The following is a 25455-nucleotide window of genomic DNA, read 5'->3' as shown; positions in this document are numbered from 1 at the left end:
TACATTTAAGTCTGTAAATACTATAGTCAAATTAACTATGAAGCAAGAATTCTTAGATCATCTTAAAAGAGGTTTTGGTAAATGTTAACTGACCTAGGAAACATTGTTGGTTAGGAATGGATTCAGCTGCAAGTAACAGCGTTACCTACAATGGCTTAGCCAAGATTTGGTTTTCTTAGAAGAGAATTCCAAAAGGAGGCAGACAAGATCTCATCCCAGTGGCTTCATTATACTATTTCAAACAAAATGCCCTCTGGTTTTCTAACAAGCATCCTTAGATGACCTTCAGTTACATTGCATTGTCCAGAACTATGTCACATGAAACACCTCTAGTTGAAAACTAGGCTGGGAAATAATATTTTCAAGTATGTACATTGTAGTCTCAAATAAAAGAAAGGGAGGAATTATACAGGTCAGTTAGCAAAAGCTATCGGCAATGCAATTTCAGAGCAATTGCAGTAAGACCCCAGCTATCACATCTTTGTTAAAGCACTACTAAGTAAATTAAGTTTGTAACACCTAACTCCAATATCTAAGTGCCACATTTAAGTCCTTTTTCCAGGTTTTCATAAACTAGTTGATTTTGTGCCTTTCAGCTATGTCTTTGTCTAATGGATTCCTTGGAGAACAGCCCAAGCACAGCTTGTATCCATTCACAGAAAAGGTTCCTATGTAGTATTGCTATGCCCACAAGGGCAAGAGTGATCTATGAAGATTTCCACTCACTCAGAAAGCTACCAATTGATATATTATGGATGGTCATTGACAGGTCCAATTCAGGGAAGTGAAAAAAGGGGAAATTGCAGATATAGTATAATACCTTTGTTTACTCAGCTGCTTTCTCCTTTTGCTAGTAAAAAAGTGGTAGTATCTTAAGAGCTATGAAATTCCTCAAAATTACAGCTCAGTAGCTACCAGAGTCTGGCATACACTGGGTGTTCAAGTAATATGTGTTGACTAAGCCTTTTGCCTACTTACTCTTATCAAAAGGGACACAAACATTGGTTTAAAACAAGTATTCTTCATTCACTTTAACGAAGCAGTCAAAAGCATTTAGTCAGCATCCATCTCACGTGAATCAGAGCTCTATGAGGAGCCCAAAGGAAGTGCTTGCTAAGATTTTTCACCCCGAAGGTCTTGCCCTGTCTTTTATGTGACGTGGCAGATTTTTTTTTTAAAAACTCACATCCGGAGCTAATTAATCAACTCTTTGGAAATTGGTTTCTAAGCCATTTGGCCACCAAGGAGATTATCAACATTATAAAATCAGTTTAGAGCCATTTTTAAGTGTTTAACATACTTTTATAATTTCCTAAATCAGCATATAAATCAGCTTGAAACAAAAGTTAGGAACTGTCAGTCAATGAATCAGTTAACCAAGCACTTGACATGATGTTAAGGGTCATTTGAAGGCGCACAAATAACGGCCCCTGCCGTTGACAAAACTGTCTATTTAGGAAGACAATATGTGTTCAGGGGAAAAACATCATGTAATAACGTAACATTATATTTACAACTTGTCACATTGATAGAACAGACAATACATGTTTCATTTTTCCCAGAATATCAATAAATTTGGGCTTTGCTAAAGTGAAACAGGGACCAAATGTATCCTGTCCATAACTCAACTTTTGAGGCCCTGATAGGAGGATCACAGCCCTTTGAAGATTAGAGTATAAAGTGCCATTTAGCATAGATAAACTATAAGGAATTCACTTGAGCCATAGGAGGAAATAAAAATAATTATTATTTTCTTTTTTTAAAACATTAGGTCATGGAACTAAAGGAGTGTTTGAGCTTCTGTCCGGATGGCGGAGAACCAAAGAGAACTTGCCCTTCAAAGACAGGATAGCAGATGCCTATTCTGATGTGATGGTCACCTATACCATGACCAGCTCCCTGTACTTCATCACTTTTGGCATGGGTGCCAGCCCATTCACAAACATAGAGGCTGTGAAGGTCTTCTGTCAAAACATGTGTGTCTCTATTCTGTTGAACTACTTCTACATTTTCTCCTTCTTTGGCTCCTGTCTGGTCTTTGCTGGCCAACTAGAGCAAAACCGCTACCACAGCATCTTTTGCTGTAAGATCCCTTCTGCAGAATACCTGGATCGCAAACCTGTGTGGTTCCAGACAGTGATGAGTGATGGGCATCAACAGACGTCCCATCATGAGACGAACCCCTACCAGCACCACTTCATTCAGCACTTCCTCCGTGAACATTATAATGAATGGATTACCAATATATATGTGAAGCCATTTGTTGTCATCCTCTATCTCATTTATGCCTCCTTCTCCTTCATGGGGTGCTTACAGATCAGTGACGGAGCCAACATCATCAATCTACTAGCCAGTGATTCGCCAAGTGTTTCCTATGCCATGGTTCAGCAGAAATATTTCAGCAACTATAGCCCTGTGATAGGATTCTACGTCTATGAGCCCCTAGAGTACTGGAACAGCAGCGTCCAGGATGACCTAAGAAGACTCTGTAGTGGATTCACTGCAGTGTCCTGGGTGGAGCAGTACTACCAGTTCCTGAAAGTCAGCAACGTCAGTGCCAATAACAAAAGTGACTTCATCAGTGTCCTGCAAAGCTCATTTTTAAAAAAGCCAGAATTCCAGCATTTTCGAAATGATATCATCTTCTCCAAGGCAGGGGATGAAAGCAATATCATTGCTTCTCGCTTGTATCTGGTGGCCAGGACTAGCAGAGACAAGCAGAAAGAAATCACAGAAGTGTTGGAAAAGCTGAGGCCCCTATCCCTCTCAAAGAGCATCCGATTCATCGTGTTCAACCCCTCCTTTGTCTTCATGGACCATTACAGCTTGTCTGTCACAGTGCCTGTTCTGATTGCAGGCTTTGGTGTTCTCCTGGTGTTAATCCTGACTTTTTTCCTAGTGATCCACCCTCTGGGAAACTTCTGGCTAATTCTTAGCGTCACCTCAATTGAGCTGGGCGTTCTGGGCTTAATGACATTATGGAACGTCGACATGGATTGCATTTCTATCTTGTGCCTTATCTACACCTTGAATTTCGCCATTGACCACTGTGCACCACTGCTTTTCACATTTGTATTAGCAACTGAGCACACCCGAACACAATGTATAAAAAGCTCCTTGCAAGACCATGGGACAGCCATTTTGCAAAATGTTACTTCTTTTCTTATTGGGTTAGTCCCCCTTCTATTTGTGCCTTCGAACCTGACCTTCACACTGTTCAAATGCTTGCTGCTCACTGGGGGTTGCACACTTCTGCACTGTTTTGTTATTTTACCTGTGTTCCTAACGTTTTTCCCCCCTTCCAAAAAGCACCACAAGAAAAAGAAACGTGCCAAGCGAAAGGAGAGAGAGGAAATTGAATGCATAGAAATTCAAGAGAACCCGGATCACGTCACCACAGTATGAGGGGTATAGACCAGTGGATTATTTTTCTTTTCCAGTATTGCACAATGATGCAGGGCAAGTAAAGCTCAGACCTCAGCTGCTTGGGCTGGCCAGGGGTAACAAGGCAAGTCAGATCAAGAGTGCATTATTCATGACACTTCAAGGTGCCTGCTTCTTGGGGGGAAGAGGGAATAAAAAAAGAGGAAAAAGTTATTTGCAACCTTGTTCTCCTCTAAAAACAAGTTTCTGGATGTAATCTGAGAGCTCTTCCAAGGAATGGATGAATCAATGGAGTGTTAAGATAGAAGGCCAAAATAACCAGCTTCTTTTAAAAATAAAATGCTTAGGAGTGATGGAGAAGCAAGGAAAGGTGTCCTTCAAATAGGGGGAAAGACATGGGAAATGTGCCATGGCACTTTTCATGCTTGTTTTTTGAACAGGTTGGTCAAAGGAAACCTATGCACTTGGGAAGTACATATTTAATACTGTCTAAACCAAAGGACTTCCCAATCCATTTTATGTGTACATATATATGTATATATCCCGTATATACATATACTTAGTTTTGTCTTTAGGGTACATTGACGTTTATGTGGAGGGAGCTGTCCATTTGAAGATAGGCTGGCTTTTCCCTAGAAAGTCAAATCAACCTTAGCCAAATTTATAGATTCATTAATAGCCGTTCTAAATCAACCCAAGTGTCTCAGCAGTCAGTGTGTCATTCAACTGTGGGATGAGCAAAATAAACAGAGATGTGAGTTCATTAGATTATGCATATCATGTCAGCAGTCATCTAGACTTTTGCTTTGGATGACTTCACAAGAAAACACAAAAGGCATTTGAATTAATTACCACATGGACAAGGTTTACTGTTTCATATTAGAAATAAACAGTTGATATGGATTTTCGTTGGCTTTTACTGTATTTGGAAGACTGATATGGCTGCTTTCAGTGAGCTCACCCAATTGCAAATGAGCGCTTTACACAGATTATCCATACATGAGTCTAAGGGTGCACAAGTATGTGTATGTGAGTTGGGGTACTCCATAGTTACACCGTTCTTATTTTAGATAGGGAAAATAACTGTCATGGAATATAGATAATTAACATAGGAGAAAGGAGACATAACTAGGAAACTCGTAGAGTGAAATAGAATAAAATGGACCATACCCACTCATCACATGCCATCTACTAGTTCTTAGCATAAGGAAACTATTCTAATCCTATAAACTCTAGTGTATTCCTTGCATTAGTATTTGGAACATAACCCAGGCCATGATCACTATAGTAGTGTTCACTACACCTACTGCAGTACCATTTGTAGCTTCTCACAATAGTGTTGCTCTTGTTACCTGGAAAGTGCTCCTCGGTTGGCCCACCTCCTAGGGTGATCGCAGCTCTCCACAGGTGGGATATTAACTATAACTGCTGCTGAATTCTTTCTCAAACAAAAGTACTGAGGTAAATGTTTTCATTAAGTTAAAGTTTAAAACTACTCCCAAGCACCTGTTGGGTGCTTACTTGGACTATTGCTGTGCCTCCTGTCACAGGAAATTACTAGAAAATGCCTTTTCCCATGCCAAGCAGTAACATAATTTATTTCCAGGTAGGACAGAATAAATGTCCGATGATTATAAAATCTGCTAGTAAGCTCTTTTACCTAGAAGAAAGCTACTACTTCCCATCAACTTTGGTTCTATGTTTTAATCAAATTAATAATACCTAAAATAACAAAACTCCTTGACTCAATTATGTTCAGAAAAAAGGTACAAACCATTCCATTCTCGTTATAGTCTCTGGAAATGAAGTTGATAGACTAATGAAGTAACAAAACAAGTATACTTAGACATATAACTTTCCAGAATATAAAGGGGAAAGGGAACAGACCCTAAAATGAAAACATTTAAGTAATATTTCATTTATTAAATGGAGTTTGTTTTGTTTTACCTTGAGGTAATTGGGTTTCAACAGGAAATGATCTATGTCTTCTCCATTGTGTCAGTTTCAGTGCAATATCTATAGATTTGAGTGGGGAAAATTATTGCCCATAATCATAGGGTTATTGTTTTTACATTATTTGTAAAGTCATGTCACAAATACTCCTAGCCTTTTGCCTCATGAACTGCTGTACTAGAATGAACTGGTATTTGGTACGAGTAGCCTCCAGACCATGATCTCATATCTGAAGTAGAAGTTTCAGAGGAGGTTTTTGGTTGGGTTTTGATTTTTTGTTTGGGTGGGAGTTTTGTAGTGGGGGTGCAGGGAGGAGGAGAATTCCTCTTACAGATTACCCATCATTTGTAAAGATTTGATATGGAAGATTTTTATCTCCCATATCAAAATATGGGAGATAATCACTGAGAAAGTTAATTAACTATCACTCCTTTTCTTCCCATTGTGTGCCATGCTCCACTCATTCACCTATTTTTTAAAAGATTGGCTATTGGGGTTGGTTTTTTCTTGGTTCCTATAGACCATTCTGCATGCAAAGAAGAATGGCAGGCTGATTTACAGGGAAAGAATCAAGCATGCCAGTTGTCAAAAGCACATGGAGGAAATGGTATACACTGCCAAATGACCAGGGCAGATCTAATATTATGTCTCCATCCAGATAGTCTCTGTTTAGATAGGGAAAAACAGTTCTTTTTTAGTTTATGTCTTCAAGGATCAAAGTGTCTAAGATAAATATGAATTTCTCATTGTTCGAGTGACTAGAGGGCATTTTGGAAGGAACATTATCTTTTCCAGGACACCGTAGTACTCTTTAGAGAACTGTAGCAATAATTTACTGAAATGGAATTATTTGTTCTGGAAGAGTTAATATACCACCTAAAGTGTCTTAATGCAGTCCTAGGAAGTAATTTAATCCTAAGAAGAATCTAACAGAGCATCGTCTGACCTCCCAACCTCACTGTGAAACAGATGTTTCCAAGAATTCCATTTCCTGAATACTAAGATACATCCTAAGATATGAGATCATGACTTGCAGGTCACCCCCAATCCCAACCTTTTTTGGTAGCTTGTATGCACCTCTCCCTAGTTTTTCCAGTTTGCACTCATTGTTTTGTTCATTTATGAAGTACTAATGCCATTCAAATTAGGAACTTATCTGTTGTCAGCAGATGACCAATCAACTCCTAGAAGAGAAGAAATTTGTGGGAAATATGTTAGCTTTGTGTAATATTTTATTTAATTGAAACATATATGCCCTTAAAGTAAGAGGTTATAAAGTTTGAAAAAACTACTCTTTTTCTGTATGTAAACTGGAATGTGGATTTATTTCCTTCCATCAGAATTTAAATTTGAATTGGAAAGTGCCATGTGAGCTCCACTCTCTTTGATGTTAATAAACTTCAAAGAGGTACTCACCTAAATTACAGAGAGATCAGCTAAAAGATTTTTTACCGTTTATGGTTAAAGGTAATCATACCTTAGAGATTTGATTCTTTAGACCAGCCTTAATTCTTTTTAATGAAAGTCATGTTTAGATGTCTTCCCAGGAATTCTTGCAGTTACTATGAACCTCTTTGAAGGCTGTGCATGAGTATTCTATGAAAGAACTATTCTCCTCTGTTGTTGTATCATGTAAGTGGCCCTTTCCTATTTGATTCCCATTTATTTCCACAGAATTTAGGTTTTTACCTTGTGAGGTGAGAAGAATAATGATGACAAATGTTTTATGATGCTATTATAGTTATTCTTGAATGTTAAATTCAAGACAGTAAAAGCTTTGTCCATTTTGTAATTATCTATCACATTTCCCCGTAATAAGCTAATCCTTCTAGGCTTGTGGTTAGAGCTAAGGATTAACTATTGCCATTCAGAATTACATGTATTTTTATAAGTTGACTGTAAATATCATAATTACAGTCACATATTTTTATGACCAAATAGTTATGAATGCACGGCACTATGCATGCTTTGTTATTAATAGTACATAGGTTATTAAAGACACTATTTTCAGGGTTATTGCAACTTTTATTAAAATTTCTTACATCACCTATTCATAAATGCCTCATGGCTTTTGGTCTTAAGGGCCTAAAGTCCACAGAAAGTTCCATCCCCAGGTAAGCAATTTAAGAATTGCCTTCCCTGGGTATCAGTAACAACCACCTCTTCTAGAATGGACTTCGGAAAATCTCAGAAGTGAAATCTGGCTTCCAGGCAAAGGGCCTAGTATATTCTGTATTGGTTAGTAAATAAACATAATTTTATGTCTTGTGTTTGCTAATCTTATGGTGAAGCAGAAAATACAATGCCATGAGACTGACATTTAGATATTGTCTCTTAGAGATTGGAGAAGTCAATGATTTGCTCGGCATCCTACTACAGGGATCTTTCTGTTCAGTCTGGTTTGTTGGTGTCTGCGAAGGATATTGGCAATCTTTGCAAAAGTGAATCTGAAAACTGTTACTTATTCCAAAAGAGCCTCAGAAGCACTTTTCTTCCCTTTACAAACAAAAAACAAACAAAAAAAGTTTTAGCTTTTTCTCAATTACCAAAATTTTGTGACAATTTTATGACATTGACCCAAAACATATTTATGGCTGAATTGGTATGCCCTTGCTATTTCCCCATCTTCAATCTCAATATGAAATTGAACATCATCACTGTGGTGCGGACCTTTATGCTAATATTTTAAATCAGTGAGCTGCAGATATATAGGATAGGGAAAAATCAAGTTTTTTACTACTTTGTCTACAAAATAACTACAATGATATTGACCCAAATGAAAGCAGCAAAATCATAAGTGAAAGCAACAAAGCCACACTGCATGAGATCCAGCAGGGGAGGGACTGTGTATGGGTATAGCAGCAGTAAATTACCTTGATTTATCAACTAAAGGACCAAGATTAATCCACCATCACGTTTAACTTAGGAGCACAAGAGGTGGTGTTCTGTGTTTGAAGTGTTGTGGAGTTAGATCAGGCAACATTTGAAATGACACTGGAAGGATATTGAGAGATGAGCCCACATCTCAGAAATCAAGATGTCTGTAAGTAGGTGTGATAGAACAAGTGGAATAATACCACATATTCTGTGATTTAGAATACAGCAGAGAGAATCACGTGGTGTTGCAAAACTATAGATTCTCAACTGCTAGCAAACTTGATCATAGGCAAATACATTGCACTTGAAGACTGGGTTCTCATTTGTTAGATTCATAACCTAATCTTTGCAGTGGGAGGTGCTCCTGAATTTCCAAGCACAAAGGAAGAGCCGTAGACCCTTTTGTTAGTGAAAGTGAAAAGCTAGGGAGACTCTTTGTAAAGAAGCTTAAAGTAAGCACCGACATAAGCATCATTCATTCCCAGAGTGGCTCTCATTGACTATATTTTGTGAGTCTTTGAGTCATAATGAACACTTTTTCTAATCAGTTTTTTTCATACTTAATGAGGACTCTCTATTGCTGATAGAGAAGCCACTTGCTTTTCTTATAAAACGGAAAACAACTCAAAAGAGCAATATATAGGGTTAAGAATATATTTATAGTATAACTTCCTAGTCTACAAATCACATTTTATGTCTTCTGCATCTCTAAAGATGTAAAAATTAAATGGGAGTGTACCTTAAACTGAAAACCTCTATAAGGTAGATATTTTTAATATAATAAAGTATTTATAAAGGAAACTATCACTGATTTTGCACTATCTTAAATTATAGAAAGCCAGCTTCTACTATTTTTCCCCAGTTGAAAATTTCCCTTAAGAAAGGTCTCACAGGTCATGGTAATTATAAAATCTTAAAAATCAGAAAGAAACTTTAGGAACAGAGTAGGAATCACCACTGATGGTGTGTGATTCCTGCTGTGTATGATTTCATTGCACTTATCTGAGCTGAGGTTTTTAGAAGCCATTTGTAGCTGAGCTCTGGTTTCCCAACAGCTAATGGCATGGTCTAATAGAGGAGCATTACGGTTTTCTTTCCCTCTGTTGCCACAGTTTGTAGAGTAAGCACATTGCCCACAAGGCTCTGTCAAACCAGAGGGGGAAAAAAATTCTAATGCTTTGGAAGACTGCATTGAAGAATTTCCTAGGAATAACTAGGAAACACTCTCATGGACGAAAGATTACTGGTGTTTAATAAAAATGTATAACTTTTCAGTGCTATATAAATTTAACTTATATTCTCAGTAGCGGCAGTCTACAGTATGTTATGGGGAGCATTTAAATTATCTAATGTAATATGGTTACTAGAATCTCTCCCTGGACACGGAAACACCTTCTATCATTTTATCTGATGAATTCACTGGTTGTTGGTAGCAACACTGATAGAGCTGGGGAAAAAAAAAAAAGAATAAGCCGTCATATTCTTGCATCTCCTGGTACAGTCTGTAGCATCTATTTTCAAGTAGAATAAGGGAATTCTGGCATCTTTTCTTCACAAACATAAATGTGCTACAAACTGATAAACTAGACCTTAAACTAGTCAATGCAAATATCCCAAAGTTTTAGTAGTTTAAGCAACAACTTTATTATACTTTCCTGTTAATTATGCATATTTTTCAGCAGTAGACTTTTTTGCTCTGAACTAGGAAATCTGTCACAGATTGAAAAGGGCAGAGATCTCTCCAAGCTACCTCATAAGGGTATTTAAAGACAAAATGGCATGCAATCTTTGATTAAATGGCAATATATTAAAGCCACAAAGCAATATTATTTATCACCTTTCCTTGATGCTCATTCACTTTATCAAATTAGACAAGGCAAAATGTAAAATGAGCACTCCTATATGCAGTCCCACTTATACATTCTGGTTAACATAATATTCATTAATATGAAATCTTTCAAGGCAGTTGTTAGTTGTCTCCCTACAGATATCCCAGAGCTCAAAAATTGACTCAGAAAGAGAGTAATCTGACTTTGATTAGAGGCAGCAGTCTACCCAGTAAGATGCACAAATAATCTGTGAATAACTTCAGAAAAATTCCAAGTGCATTTCACTTATCACTTTTCTTGGAGGAAAAAATCTGTTCGGGTGTTTGTTTGTTTATTCTAGGCAAATAGAAAGAGACAAAGTTACCATTATTTGGCATTTTACTTAAGTTTTCTTTTCCTCTGGAAGGCATTGCTATTATTTTCTGCTAAATCGGGGTTTTTAAAACACAAGTCACTTACGGAAACATTAGCATCAGTGAAAAGAAAACTCCTAGGGAGAAACAGTCTTCACCCATGCATAGACAAATTGTAGAAATGAGAGTAAAAGTTGAGCATTTTTATTTTCTTTCCTAAAACAAAACCCACTTGTTCTTAATCCTAGCTAGACAAAATACCAGTTTCTACAGCAAAGAAGGGTGACTAAATGTATGAAATTATGAAACTTTGATGTATTAACACTACAAACCTCATGGCAAACCATCAATTCCAGATGTCTTTACCCATAACAATATTCCTTCTAAAATACTCTATTACATATAGGTTCATCCCATTCATGAAAACAGCCTCATTTATCACTCCCAAAATAGTACAAACAAAGCCATTTTAGGTTTCTGCTCTGTAGTTCTGTACCTTGGGCTCTACAACTAAAGCTACCTTACTGAGGAAAGCTTAAAAACGAATTGTGAACAAAAATGTCAAATCAAAAAAACATTACCCAAGTTGTATTTCCATCCAAAAATATCTCCTGTGAAATAGAAGACTGCTGTGTAGCCATTTTAGATCTCACAAAGAAGAAAATATTCTAAAAGTACCTATTTTTGATCTTACTAAGAACCCAAACCAAAAGTCCTTCCAAAGTTTCCAAAGTTTCCAATTCACCTGAATTTGGTCCATTATCAAAATTTACCTCTATGTTGATCAGTGAAAAAACATTTTGCAAAACAGGTTTTTCTTAACTATAATAGAAACAAATAAAGAACAAATTATTTCCCATAGATTTGCATGTGTAAACACACATTTAATAATTAAATGAATCTCATACCTCAGTCAAGGGAAATTATGTTCCAAATATTTCCTTGTTCGGTTCATCATTATTTTCATGTTTTGGACACACTGAAATACAATAATTTTAGTTAAATTGCTCATAATTTATCTGCATGACAAATCTATTATCTAAAGCTTACAGGTACAAATCTTAAGAAAAATAACAATTAAATCTTAGCTACTTGGAAAAAAAAGTCATCAAAATCATATTTACTACAGTGCCACTAGGCAAAGTTAAACAGCATTTCTGGCTATCTCAACTTTTTATTTTAACAACAAAAGAAATCTAGTTCCATTAGTCATAATAATAGAAATAATTTATATATTAAAGTAGTGATAAATTATACAGGTGTATATTCTATAGTTCTTAGGGTCAAATATGAGGTCTTTTAAAATCACAATCACAAATGCTGTAAAAGCTAGGTTATTCTTAAATTCGCCAGATTTTTCTTCATTCTTTATTGTTAGTATTAAATGCCCCACAGAATATTATAATATGCAACTTATTCCTCTAACCTCAGTGAGAACTTCGAGCATGCTACCTTTTAATTCTAGGCTAAGAATTAAACTTCCTAAACAAAACATCTTATAACATCACAATGTAAAATAACATAATCTATGTTTTTTTAGTATTTTATTGAATCACAAGTTCTAAAACTTATAATGTAATTTTTTATCCTTTAAACATTCAAGAATACATACATTAAAATAATACTGTGATGATATATATCAATTATCTCTCCGTGGTTAAGATAAAGCATTCTGAAGCAAATACAAAATGTCTTGGCATTCCTGAGAGATATTTTTATGAATCCCTAAGTTCACAAATGTCTCTAAAACACATAAATTACTAAAGCATTACTAAAAGATTCAGATAGCACTTTAACACCCCTTAATAATTATGTTACCTTCAAATCTACAGCAATTTATAATCGGGTCAAATAAATTCTACCTAAAATTTATCACTGCATTACATTGCATTATTGTAGTAATATTAACTATAAAAATACTTGAACCAACATTTTTCTCACCATATGAGAGCTGCAGAAGATGGAGACAATGAGTGAGCCAGCGGCTCCTCAGTAGTACCCAGAGATTAATCACAAAGCACATCCCTTTGGCTGCACGCTATACAGTTTCAAGCTGGGGCATAATTGTTCAGGGGCTATCAGCACCACTTCTAAGTCACTAAAACCAATCATGTTAAATATTTCAATATCCAAGTCCACTGTATTTTGATGAATAATGTGGTGGCATTATACATAACGCATAGATAACCAACATTCAAAATATGTAAGGTCACTTGATGCCAAAATTATACTTAAACAATTTAATATTCCACAAGCCACTTCAAAAGCTTTATCATTGCAAAGCTCTCCTCATTATTGACGTATGATGAGGAGACCAAAGAAGTCTTAGTAATATTTCATTTTATATAGTTTGCCGTATGTTTTCTTAAAAACAAGGATGCCTTTATGTCTTTCCTGGAAATGTTTGGACTTATTCAATAGCCATTTTCCTGTCCAAATTTAGTATTTTAATTATTAATTTTATTCTGCTTTTTTCCTTTAAATATGTTCAACTTTTATCATTTCTAAAATAACTTTTCTTTAGAGTAATTAAGCATGTTTTCTCCTTTACATAAAAATAAGCATGGCTAGAAAGGAATGAAATAAGAACTCAGAAAAATTAAGCTGGACATTTGGAACCTATTTGCAAATACTAAATAAAGTTTGCAAAAGTACTATTTATTGTCATTTATATGTGCTTCAAGTTGAAATTCTCCACTGATTTTATTTTAAAAATGGCAACTGACATGCCAAACTATGAAGCACACAATGTCTGCTTTGCAGACGTTCAGTAATTATCCATTCAGTGAAGAAAAATATAAAAGACTTCTCCAGCTTATCAGTTGCCTGCTCATGACCTAATGAAAAGGAGGTTATTTAATAATTTCAATCTTTGAGAGCCCATATTCAGAAGCTTTTGTTGTTGTTTTGTTTCATTTTCTTGAATTTTCCTATATAGCCAGTTACACAATAATAAGGCCCCATATAAAGGAAGAATTTCAAGTTTGTTGGTAATAACTGTCCTTTCCTATAAGTTGAAATGCTACAACCTAGAGCTATACACATCTTGATAGTAAAATAAGGGAGAATGTGATCCAACATAAAGAAAAATTAAGGACAAGGGTGTTTTTTTAAAAAAAAAGGTAAAGTGAGAAAAAATTTTAAAACGGATCTAAAACTGTTGAAGAAGGGACTAAACAACTGAACTGAAACCTTTTTTTTATTTAGTTTCTGTTCATTAGCTTAGTTAGGCTTTAAAAACAAAGGAACACATTGGAAAGTTTCAGAAAAACCCTGACATATCTAAGTCTCCAAAAAGTTTGTTACTCTTTAAAAAGATAGAACTAGAAATTCAGTCCCATTTTAGGATCAAGATTTGATGTAGATGGGTTTCTGAAGTACCCCTAGATGGCTTGTGATTGTACCTATTTACTTACCTCATATTTAGGAGCACCTATATTGGTCTCTGTGCTAGGCTCAGAAGAAAATACCACTAAACTATTCATAGTTCCTGACTTTGAGGTATGCATGATCTGTTGAGGAAATTTGCAGCTGGAGTATTCAAGGAAAGTAAGGAAGGAATTATGAACTGATCCACATTGAAGTGTGGGTAAGATTCTAATAGATAGAGATGGAGGATGGGCTCAACAGTCAGGGAGAAAAAGTGAAATATACAAGGGCAGGAAAGCAGGTTGTCCAGGATGAAGGCTATAACAGATGAGATGATAGCAACCCAGAAGAGACTTGTTACAGATGGGAATAAAAAGGAAGCGCCCATTGTGAGTGGTATTATAAAGCATTGCCAGGATATGGGGAGTTACTTGGATTTTGGAGAGGGATCATAAAGAAAAAGCTCTTTTTATGATGTATCCTTGGGCTTAAATGCAGTGAATGGTTTACAAAATGTAAATACACAGTCTCTATTTTTGAATTTTAACTGTTAAAATCAAGGATCCCAAAACTGAGCAATATCACATAAATTTATAATCTCTCTTGCTTTGAAATGTAGTGGTTGCAAGAGCCAGTTTAGAGCATGAGTTTGATTCTCCTGATGATGGAACACCGTCCACGTTCTGGCACAAAAGCCCTCAAAGTGTGAGAGTAAGAGACTGACATGGATTGCTGGGAACCCAAACTCTCCAGAACAAACAGCTCAAACTAATACACTCCAATTAACTATCTCTGTTAATATTATTTTAATTAACAATTCAAATAATACCTGCCTAATAGAATAGGTATTATTGTCCCTGATTTATAGATTGTTCCCAGAAAGAAAACATTGTAAACAAGTACTATGTCCCTATGGTAAAATATATCATCTTTTCATCATAAATCAGTATGAAAGGTGCATGTACAGAGAAGTCCAAATGTAAATTATATGTGATGAAAAATAACTGCATAGATTTTCTCCCCATCTATCCTTTTCTAAATGTAAATTTTAAGACAATGAGTTTGTTAAAATGCTTAAAACTATTTTTTAAATTCACTTCCTTATGATTCACTGATGCTTTCTTTGAAGATCACATAAGGTACATATGCACTTAGTTTTTAAGCATAAACCTAACTGATTTATACATTACCCTTGTCCTTTTTAATAGTTAAAGTTTTAATTATAATAGTGGTGCTCCCCAAAACCAGCAATCATATTACAAGATGTTTGGAGGAATATATTTTAAACTTTAAACCTGAAAAAAGCATTTCCTAATTATGCTTTTTAGAGTTATAGATAAGGTTGGAGTTGGCCTGGGGAGGCCCCATTTTCCAACTGGTTCACGAGGAGGACATCTGTTCACAGAAGTAGAATGGAGATAAATCCAACAACCAAGTGGCCATACGAGACCATGGTCAACAAACACACTCTAAGAGACATTTTGGATAACCCTAGGAGTAACAAAGCTAGTGGTTCTCAAAATTTGCTGTACTTTGGAATGACCTAGAGAGATGTTTAAAGTCTCAATGCCCAGACTTCATGCCAGACTACTTAAATCAATATATCCTATAGCGAGACCCAACCTCAGTACTTCTGGGAGTTCCCATAGTGATTTCAATGTGTGGCTCAATTTGAAAAACAGTGGCTTAGACAACCAAGTCAACACATTTAATCCAATAAATACTGATAGAGCCTTTTATTAAGTGAAGTTTTAAAAAGTCACAAGACAAAAGCGTCTGTGACATCTATAACTAGAATATAAGCCAGAACTTGTACAGAGTCCAAAAGGAGATATCCAGAGGGTAGAGAGATGATTTCTAGTAGAGCCAAACCTGGTATGAGTGTGTTGCATTAAGATAGCACTTAAGATGAGGTAAGATTATTGGCCTGAGCACCCCATGTGACGGGACCAGACTGAGCAAAGCCATAACATGCAACAAAAGCACAGAATATGTTCCTGGGTCAACGAACTCAATTTAGCTTGAGGGTACATTTCCAGTACAGGAGTTGAATTTGTACAAACCAGAAAGTTTCATATAAGGACCTGCAAACATCATGCTGCAGAATTTATATTTGATTTGATGGACTCAGATTACTTTTTATTATTATTATTATTAGATTCAAAATTTAGAAGTATTAATCTGCAATGTTCTAAGTGTAGGTTAGACTGGAGATGAGAGACCTGAACCAAAGAATTAAGTTAGGAGGCTGTTGTGGTCATCAGCAATGAAGGTAATATTGGCCTGAAATAGAGTTGTGGCACTGAATATAAAAAGGAAGAAATAAATACAATTCACAAAACTTATATCTGTAAGATGGCCTGAACACCCAAGAACTTTGAGTGTCTAAAACACAACAATATTCACATTAGTGAATTTAATGTGGTATAACAGTAACTAGTTATTAGCTCTGTGTGATCTATTTACTACAATACTCTAATGTATAGTTTAATCTTCACATTCCTGTGGTTTTGACATGCAGCGTGGCCCATTTTTATAACATTTGTAAAGCTTTACCACAAATTTTCAGGAAATTGCTTTATCTTTACAGAACAGTTGATTTGGTTTTCTGCATATCTAACTTGGGGAAAAATGGTTTATATTGCATTAATTAAATTCAGTAAATAAAAGATGAGTCAAAGAGGAAGAAACGAATATCTTAGGAACATAAATAGGCAGTCTAATCTTTTATACTTTTTTCCATGTAAAATTACTGGATACTCAGGTATATATAACTCTTATCTACATGCACGTATTATAGCTAGAGACACTACAATAGTATCTAGATTAATCTACATATATAAACATCAATTTAATTAGCAAATAATTCTTGAGATTTATTTGCATTTCAGGGAATTTAGCAGTTCAGGTGATTTATGCTTAGAAACAAGATCACTGTTCCTCCCACAATCAGAGATCTGCTCTGCAGTCATCTTCTATGAAAGTTATGTATAAGGCACATGCTTTTATTCTACCATAAAGATGTAGTATTGCAATGTTATGTCAGCACTGGACAAAGATGGATATATATGTAAAATGTAATTTTCACAACATATCCTTACACATAGTTACACATTCATTGGATGGCCTGTCTCTAATTCAAAACTTTTCCTATGGTATAATTGTCCTGTCAAATATTTCACACATACATGGTTTTAACATTAGCATTAAAATGACCTGTGAAAATAATCCATATGAACTCTTTGTATTCTTCTACAGTCATAGAACTAAAATACGTGAGGATGAGGAAGCAGATAACAACTTGAGAAAATGTAAAAGAGTTGGAACTTGGAGCCACAGTGCCATGCAATGGGGCCACACAGCAGCTTGATCATCCACGTAGCTTTATGCGATGCCCTTTGGGTCATGGCTTTCACCAGGTAGCTTACTCAAAAAAAATGTAATTATCTATTAACCCCTTTATTCTCCAAATCTTTCATTCAAGAAGAATTTTAAACATCTTCTATGTGCCAGACACATAGAGAGTAAATGCAAAGAGAAATGAGAGGCAGCCACTACCCATCAAGGATTTTAGCAAAGCAAACTAGTAGGTGAAATAGCCATATATATATATGTGTGTGTGTGTGTATATATATATCTCAAAAATAATGGGCTCCATTTATAGAGCAGCGATTCTCCCACTTAAGCATGTATCAAAATCACCTGGAGGGCTTGTCAAAGCACAGCCTGCATATCCCCATCTCCAGAGGTTCTGATTCAATAGATCTGGAGTGAGGCCTGAAAATTTACATTTCTAACAAGTTTTCAGGTGATGCTAATGCTACTAGTCTGAGGAACCACACTTGGACTTTGAAAATCTCTGAAATCTAAGTTTGTGAACAGCAACAGACATTCTGAGAATAGTTGGATTAAATCTGTCCAGGGAAGAAGGTGAGGACAAAGGTCAGCTTCTCACCACTAGGCCTGAAAGGCTGCATAGTTGAAGAGTGCAAAGACATTCCAGTTTGAAGAAAAGAAATTACCTGAACTAAGGCCATATCTGACAAGTCTACCTGTTGGTAGAACTCATCTAGAAGACTTTTTAAACTCTTGAAGGGATGGCCTTAGTAATCTCTATTTGTAATAAGTTGCTCTGGACAGTCTTTTCATGAAGAAAATTTAGGAACATGGAACCAAGGCGTAGAGTATAAAAGAATGTGTCATTTTCAGAGAAGTCCTGTTATAGACTGGTTTAACTAGAACCACTGTATACTAGAACTAGCACTCTATACTAGAACTAGATTCATGTAGGACATGAGTTAAGTTTGAATTTCCAATAATCAGTGAATGAAATTTTTAGTACAAGTATGTTTCATGCAATATTTGGAATCTACTATACTAAAAATACTTGTTTCTCTGAAATTCAAATTTAACTGGGCATATTGCATTTTTACTTGCTAAATCTCACAACCCTAAGAATGTAGGGTATGTGTCAGGTGGAGAAAAGAACCAGAAATAATGAGGCTGAAACACTATTATATTATTAGGCCAAATAATAGTAAAGTACTATTTTTCATGTGGGATATGCAAGTGTAGCATGTAGCTAATGAAGCTTAAATTTCTGAGCCCATTGCTTACATAAGTCTTTTGGAGGCCCTAGGACAGTCCTTAGCAGTATGTTCACATCTTATGTTTATATAAAATTTTCAAATGTATGATATTTTTGCATTCTTTTCCTTAAAAGGGGACTCCAAAAATGTATACACTTCAGGCTCAACAAAATTTTGATCTGCCCCTGCATGTGGGACCACATAAGTCTCAGATACAACACAAAAATCATATTGATAAATACCAACTCTTAAGTAAAAAGTTAAGTACAATGAATGCCCAGAGAATTTGAAGATCTTTTTGTTCCTATATTATCACGAAATGCTACTTGAAATTAAAATGGCTTCAACACTGGCAAAATGAAGCCTATTCTTTGAATTACCCTCAATGTGTGAAATTAATGTTCCAGTAGCATAAAGACAGTATTTGATTTCCCAGATATAATTGACCATGGGTCATTATGTTCATGGAGCATCTTAAAGAACTAGTGTTCCAGGAAGCAAACATTGATAATGTCATGTTAGAGAAGCCTGTCTTTGTTACTGAAGAGCAGATGAGTATTACAATTCCAAAGGAAACAGTATTAATGGGTCTGTGTGGAAATCAGTTCTTATTTTCTAAACAATATTGCTGATTTCTAGCTATTTGAGTAATTTATAACCTAATAGAAGAAAAGAATACTTAAGGAAAAATGATTCATCAGCATGAATTTCAATTAAAATAACACAGAACTAATTTTTCCCTTCTGTCCCAGTACAATTTCAGGGAATGAGAAGTAAGCAAATGGAAACCAAGTTAAACTAGACCATAAATAGTAAAATATGAAGAAAAAAATTGACAAATGGCCAGGAAACCAAATAAATAAACAGGTTGATATTTTATTTTTCATTCTTTTGAAAATGATATAGCATTCTAGAATAATTGAAAAATTTTGATCTTGAATAAAAGACTTCAGGAAGGTTATTTCTTGGAGAACTTCAATGAAGGGAAAAGGGGGAAAGCAGCCTACAAAAAAAATTTAGTATGTGTTGAAAATGGTTGTAAGTAGATCTTTGGTCCCAACAGCACAGCTACTAAACTATGATATACGCCAGACCCAAGATATTAAAAAAAAAGCCATAATGCAACAAAAGTAATGATTGGCAAAACCGATAATTCATTAAAAATCCATCAGGCCTCCTAAAGGCCAACTTGGTCATACCTATACAATAAAGAAGTGCTGAAACTCCAATCAGAGTTACACACAATATGTAAGTCAAATATCTCTTACCAAATGTTCCAATAGATTTTCTTTTTGTATTAAATTCGAATACTTAGAGTACTGGGTTATGTTCAATAATAGGAAGTCACAGCTAAAAGTCGACAAAGAGAATAACTGATTGGAAGAACTTTTTCGATAACAGGAAATATGGACAGTTACCTAGGAACTAGGAAAATAAAATGACCTGATGAACTAGCCATATCATTCATTCATTAATCCATCCAACAAACATGGATTAAGAACCTATAATGTGCCAAGTGATGTACAAAGTCCTGTGTGAGGGACAAAGCAGTTCAAATTGCTCAGCGGAATACTTTAATGTCTCATAAAAAGAAGAAAGTAACTATTTGCTTTCACTGAAACATTTGTTATGAGACATTGGCAAAACTAGAGTTATTATTTATTTGCCTGCTATTAACCTAATTAACCTGCTATTAATCTAAAAATTGTTCAAGATTCTTAGTTAACATGTCTTCCATAATAAATAGAAGTTGCTATACTGATTTTTTTGTTTGTTGGACATAAATGTCAATGAGTACTAGATGTGTTTTGGACAAAATGGTAAGATAGGAAGGCAAGGATGCCTAATGATTGATTAGTGTATTAAACACAGCAGATACAGCCTTGAGGGTATACATCTTTTTGTTTGAAATTAATACACTTAAACAAATTAGTGAATGTAAGTGTAAATAGGTTCCCAAACTCATAATTTTACCCAAAAGAAATAAATACTAGTAAGTAAACAGTCAGGCAAGAATTGAGACACAAATAAAATTTTTTTAAAAAATAGTTTTATGAAAGAACATCAGCAAGGAGTGTTAATGAGTCGTTTTCTACCCTGTTGCCACCTCTTCTATTTAGCACAGCAATGACTAAGACATATTTAGAAGGATGGCCTAAAGAAAAATCAGGACTAAGTAGTTTAGGTAAAAAGAAGAATTCATCTACAGATGGAGAAAAACAATCTTGCCCTTCTTCACGCCAAGTTCCAACATGTTTGAAATTTAGCACTGGAGGGATTGGGAGAGCTCAATAATTAGACTGCGATTGAAATGTTCCACTAAAATAATGATTAGAGAGGCATCCAGGGGCACTTTCTATCTTCTTCATTCGACCTCAGCATGGAGCACATCAACTCTGTTTCTTAGTTGGACTATACTACCTTAGATACAGAACTGATTTTTAAAAGTATATAAAATTATTTCAAGTCTAAAAATCATAAAGAGTTTATCTCAGGATAAATAATTTTTATGAAAGTATTTTATCGCCAGTTCATTTGTAACCTAATTGCTTTGCTTAAGTAGATAAATCCCAAGCAATGAGTGAAATAAACTAGTAGACTAGTGGGTTTTTAACCCTCTACCTATGTCTCTCAAATGTTTATAATTTCTGCTCCACTAATAGCCCTGACCCTGCTAGGTAACAATACTCTAGGAAATTGAAGATATGAGTTCAGAGAAAAAAAATCATAAAGGAAGATAGACATTGTGAAGAATGGGCAGTAGTGCTAATGTAAAGAAAGAAAGAAGGCTGCATGGATGAGGGATTACATTTTCTGTAGGACAGGAAGAAGAGATCTACAGATGTATAGGTATAAGCTCTAAGTTGGGATAAGCAATGATGTAGATTACTAAACAAAATCAGATCATGTGTCTTATCCACTGAGTTCTACCTTAATGTTTTTGTTTTCATGGCTATATTCTCAAAATACCTGAATTTGTTTTTAGAGTCATATATTTCTTTGTCTTTTCTTAATTGACAGTTTTATATATTTCTTTCATTTCTTTCTTGATTACCTTGAGTTTAACATCATGTGCTATATGGGATGAAGAAAAAGTATGATGTGTTTTCTACCTTTAAATTGCTTGCAATCTCTTTAAAGATGCTGACAGAAGAAATAGTCACTCACAATAAAGCACAAGAAATGATTGCATGATTCATACTTTAGAGTTAAGAGAATCTGGGTATAGGGAACTATTGGCATTAAAGGGGAATACTTCAAGAAGGAAATGCAGCTTCAAATAGGCCTTGAAGAAGGCATTTTATCTGCCTAAACAAAAGAACCATCTCTTCACAGACATTAACTTGGGTGGGAGATTCACGAAAGAGGGGAAGCCCCACCCAGTCTGTTCCCCTGTCTCCTGCTCTGACCACTTCTCCAGCCACTGCCCCCTTTGTTCTCTCTGCATCAACCATGCACCCCCTTTGGTCTTTTGTCATTGCAGTTCCCACCACCCTGAATGCTCTTCTTCCCCCAGTTAGCCACAGATCTTCCTCCCTCACATCTTTTTGGTTTCTTCTTAAATATTAAATAAGTATGCATTAGAGAGGCCTTTCCTGACAATCTCATGAAAATATAGTAAATCTCCTCCCTTCTTTCATATTTGTCATGGGATTTGTTTATTGTCTGTCTGTCCCCAGTAAATTGAAAGCTCTAAGGGGGCAGAGATATTTTTCTGCTCTGTAAACTGCTATAAGCCCAGTACCCTGAAGGGTGCCAGGCACATGTTAGGCATTCAATAAATATTTGACAAAGGAAGGAAGGAAAGGAGGGAGGGAGGGAAGAAATTAGTTCAGGTAGACCTTGAAAGCTTCAAGTGTTTCAGTTGCAAATATATTAGATGTATCTCATTATCTAGTAAGTCATTTTAAGGTAAACTTACTGATACATTTGAAAGTTGTTTGCCCATGAATTCTTTGCTAGGTAATATTAACATCTACCCCTGCACTCCCTTAAATATTTATCAGTAGCTTAAACTTTAACAAAAGACATGGTTTCCTTTGGCAGAGCAGGGACTGTGCTCGTATCCTAGCTTGTCAATGGAAAGAAAAAGAAATACTGCTGAACAAGTGAAAGATTATCATGGCAGCCACATCCTTAAATGGGAGCAATTGGTAGCCTGCTGCTTCTCAGGCTTAAAGAAGTAAAAGATACTGCCCCAAGCCATTTTCAGCTGGAATTGTAAGAGTATGCACACAAATACACAAAGTTACCCTGACATAAGCGTGAATAAAATATATTATCTGATGCTCAGGAACATTTCCTTCTTCCCTCAAAATGAATAATTTATTGGTTTTCTACCTGCTGTTTCCAAGCTCACATTAATGATTCATTGATTAGTCTCAAAAACAGATGCTTGTAATTAAATCATAGGTTCTGTAAGATCATTAACTGGTTCTCTAATGGCTGAAAGAATTAAGGAGAAATGGGGTAGTTTAAATTCATAGATTCAAGAAGGATTATAGGAAGCATATTCTGTACAAATGTGACATTTGCTGTATTGTTTTCCTTTCTGATAGAAATTTCTCACCTTCTAAATTTTCATTTGTATGGAACTTGTTTTAGTTTTCTTAACATCAGCAGGTTTATTATTTATTCCACCCACAGAAATTCTGACTCAGATGGCTAGTGCAGTGTAGCCTTGTTACTTGTGTTCAGATTTCTTATTGCTCTTTGTTTTATGCCTTAGTTTATCCTTATTAGAATCTCTCCAAAATAATTGATAATTTATGTTGGTCAAGTAGCATTCCATTATCTGTGGTAAAAAATGCTTTATTAATTATACCACATAGGTTTCAGCATGTGCAAAGTCTTCTGAAAGTATCATAAATGATAGTTGTTTGGGAGATGTGATAACTTTTATTTCCATTAATGTTTACATTTCTGCCTCATTCTCAGCTGAGATTGTTACTTATATTTTTATCCACTTGAATCTTGAAGTTAAGGTAAGCTGAATATATCTAATTGTCTTTCATACACATTACTTTGTTCTACAGAAGAAATTTATTAATGGAGTAAGGTGAATATGATAAACTCAAATCAGATTTTCTTCTTATGTCTGCCCCTGAATCCAAAATTGGGGGTGCCTGCTATAAAATCAAGTATGTTTATGAAAACCTTCCCTCTCCTATAATTGCTGGAGTATTCATTCAGAGCTCTCACTTGCTATATAATTTCTAACCAAACACTTTCCAGGGAATGTACAACAAGGAAGTACATGGACAACACTCAAATTCAAATGTCCATAGATGGTGGAATTTTACCACTCTTTAGCTTACAAGCTCAATCAACTGAAACGTTTCAGAAATGTTTGTGTTTGGGGTTTGGGTTTGAGATGTGAAACAAATGACATCCTTAAACATGTTATTGTTAGTCTTCAAGGTACATATGTGTACCTTGATATAGAACTATTTATAGTTACAGTTTGCTAAAAAATTATTATAATGAAATTAACTTTGGGAGGTAGATGTTAAAGTACCAGCTTGTAAAAAGAATGTTTAATGCCAATCATTTGTATGTTTAATACCTGTGTGCTCAATGTAGTGTCATCTTTACTAGATGATTTACTTCACAATGTTTTCATTCCTGTTCCCCAAATGAAAATAAGTAGTCTATTAACTAATTTACAGCTCTTAGTTTTGGATACTATTGCAGAGACACAGGAGCACTTTTAACTCAAACACTATGGTTTACCATAGTTTTGCGGTGGTATGAAATTGAGTTAGCACTGCAATGCAATATTGAAAAAATCAGAATGCAATAAAGAAATGTAGATATCACCTGTGACTACTTCATGTACTACCCAGACTCCTCATTTATTGTTTGAACCCAAGGGTTAGTTTTTTATCTTGCCAAAAGGACATGATCAGGAAGTCAGTGTGATACCGTCTTGCTGCAGTGCAGAAGTTTTAAGAAGCAAGATACTTTTTAATGATGTACTATCACAGGATAGAAGTTATGCCCTACATGAAACTACGTATTCGCAGAAACTTTGTGTCGTCAATGTGCATCTGTTCTTACTAGTCTGGAGGGAAACAAATAAGATTTCCAGTTTTCTGCTGATCCAACACCATTTCCCATAGGCAGCACAATACACCAGCACACAGTTAGCAGCACTTTGGGACAAAACTGTTGAAAGGAAAGAAACAGTGATTATTCTGAAAACATGTAAAGCAACACTGATCATAAGTAATTTTTGTTAGGTGGGACAATACTATATAATATGATTTCTTGTGTCTAAATTTTCTCTAAAAGATTATTTGGGCTGGGTCCAGAAGGCTCCAATTTCCCTAAGCAACCTTGATCATCAATGTTGTCATGCTTCAGCTTTTGGCAGTTTTGATTCATTACCAATTATTAATATCATTATTTAAATATGAATATTGTCCCTTCCCATTATGAAAAGCTATTACAAACATATATGGATTTATATAAAGGTTGATGACTATATGCTTTTTTATATTAGAAAATCATGTGAAAACAAAATTAATCTGATGAATGCTGTTAATTATTTTAACTTTTTTATTAGGTATAAAATGTTCATAAAATTATTCTCTCTATAACTTACCAAGATTTATTAGCTTGTGTAATTTTTATAATCAGAGGAGTCTGGTTTTCTAATTAAAGTTTTGTCAAAGAAAATGAATGTGTGGCTCTTTCCTTCCTTGGAAGCATACTGTAAAAATGCCAAAAATGCAATCCAGGTTTTCTCTCCTCCTCTATGTGGTACGCAAATGAAATTGTATGCAGCCAACACACCTGGATCTGGGGCTATTTTCAATTCCCACTATCGGCCTGAGGTAGGGTGATGCGGTGGTGGAAAAAGCCTTTATGCATATCTGAATACCATTAGAACAAGTTAAAACCAGGAAGTTCATGTAATTAGCTGATTATACTGGGGTCCTAATCATGCTTTCTTAAAAGTCACTTTTCCTGTCTACTTTCAATTTGAGAGAAAGCGCTAACATGATGTCCTAAACATTATCAGCTTTCCTCCAGGAAGAGCTGTCAAGTCTCTGAGCCTCATAAGCCTTAATTATTCCATTTCAAATGCCAAATGAA

At 35.3% G+C, this 25455-nt stretch overlaps 1 protein-coding gene across 7 annotated transcripts in view; it reads left to right on the top strand.

The window, feature by feature from the left end:
- PTCHD4 (patched domain containing 4) overlaps positions 1-25035 on the top strand; it is a 254525-nt gene extending 229490 nt beyond the window's left edge. For all 7 annotated transcript variants that reach the window (XM_011514639.3, NM_001384253.1, XM_047418830.1 and 4 more), the window contains one exon: positions 1772-25035. In XM_011514639.3, the coding sequence (XP_011512941.1) occupies positions 1772-3405 (1634 nt within the window). In that variant the 3' untranslated portion in view covers positions 3406-25035. The remainder of the gene's footprint in view (positions 1-1771) is intronic.
- Positions 25036-25455: the final 420 nt, after the last annotated feature.

This window comes from Homo sapiens, chromosome 6 (assembly GCF_000001405.40).
Source record: "Homo sapiens chromosome 6, GRCh38.p14 Primary Assembly".
Taxonomy (NCBI): domain Eukaryota; kingdom Metazoa; phylum Chordata; class Mammalia; order Primates; family Hominidae; genus Homo; species Homo sapiens.
The sequence above is the reverse complement of the archived record's forward strand: the minus strand, read 5'-3'. Positions and strand labels throughout refer to the sequence as shown.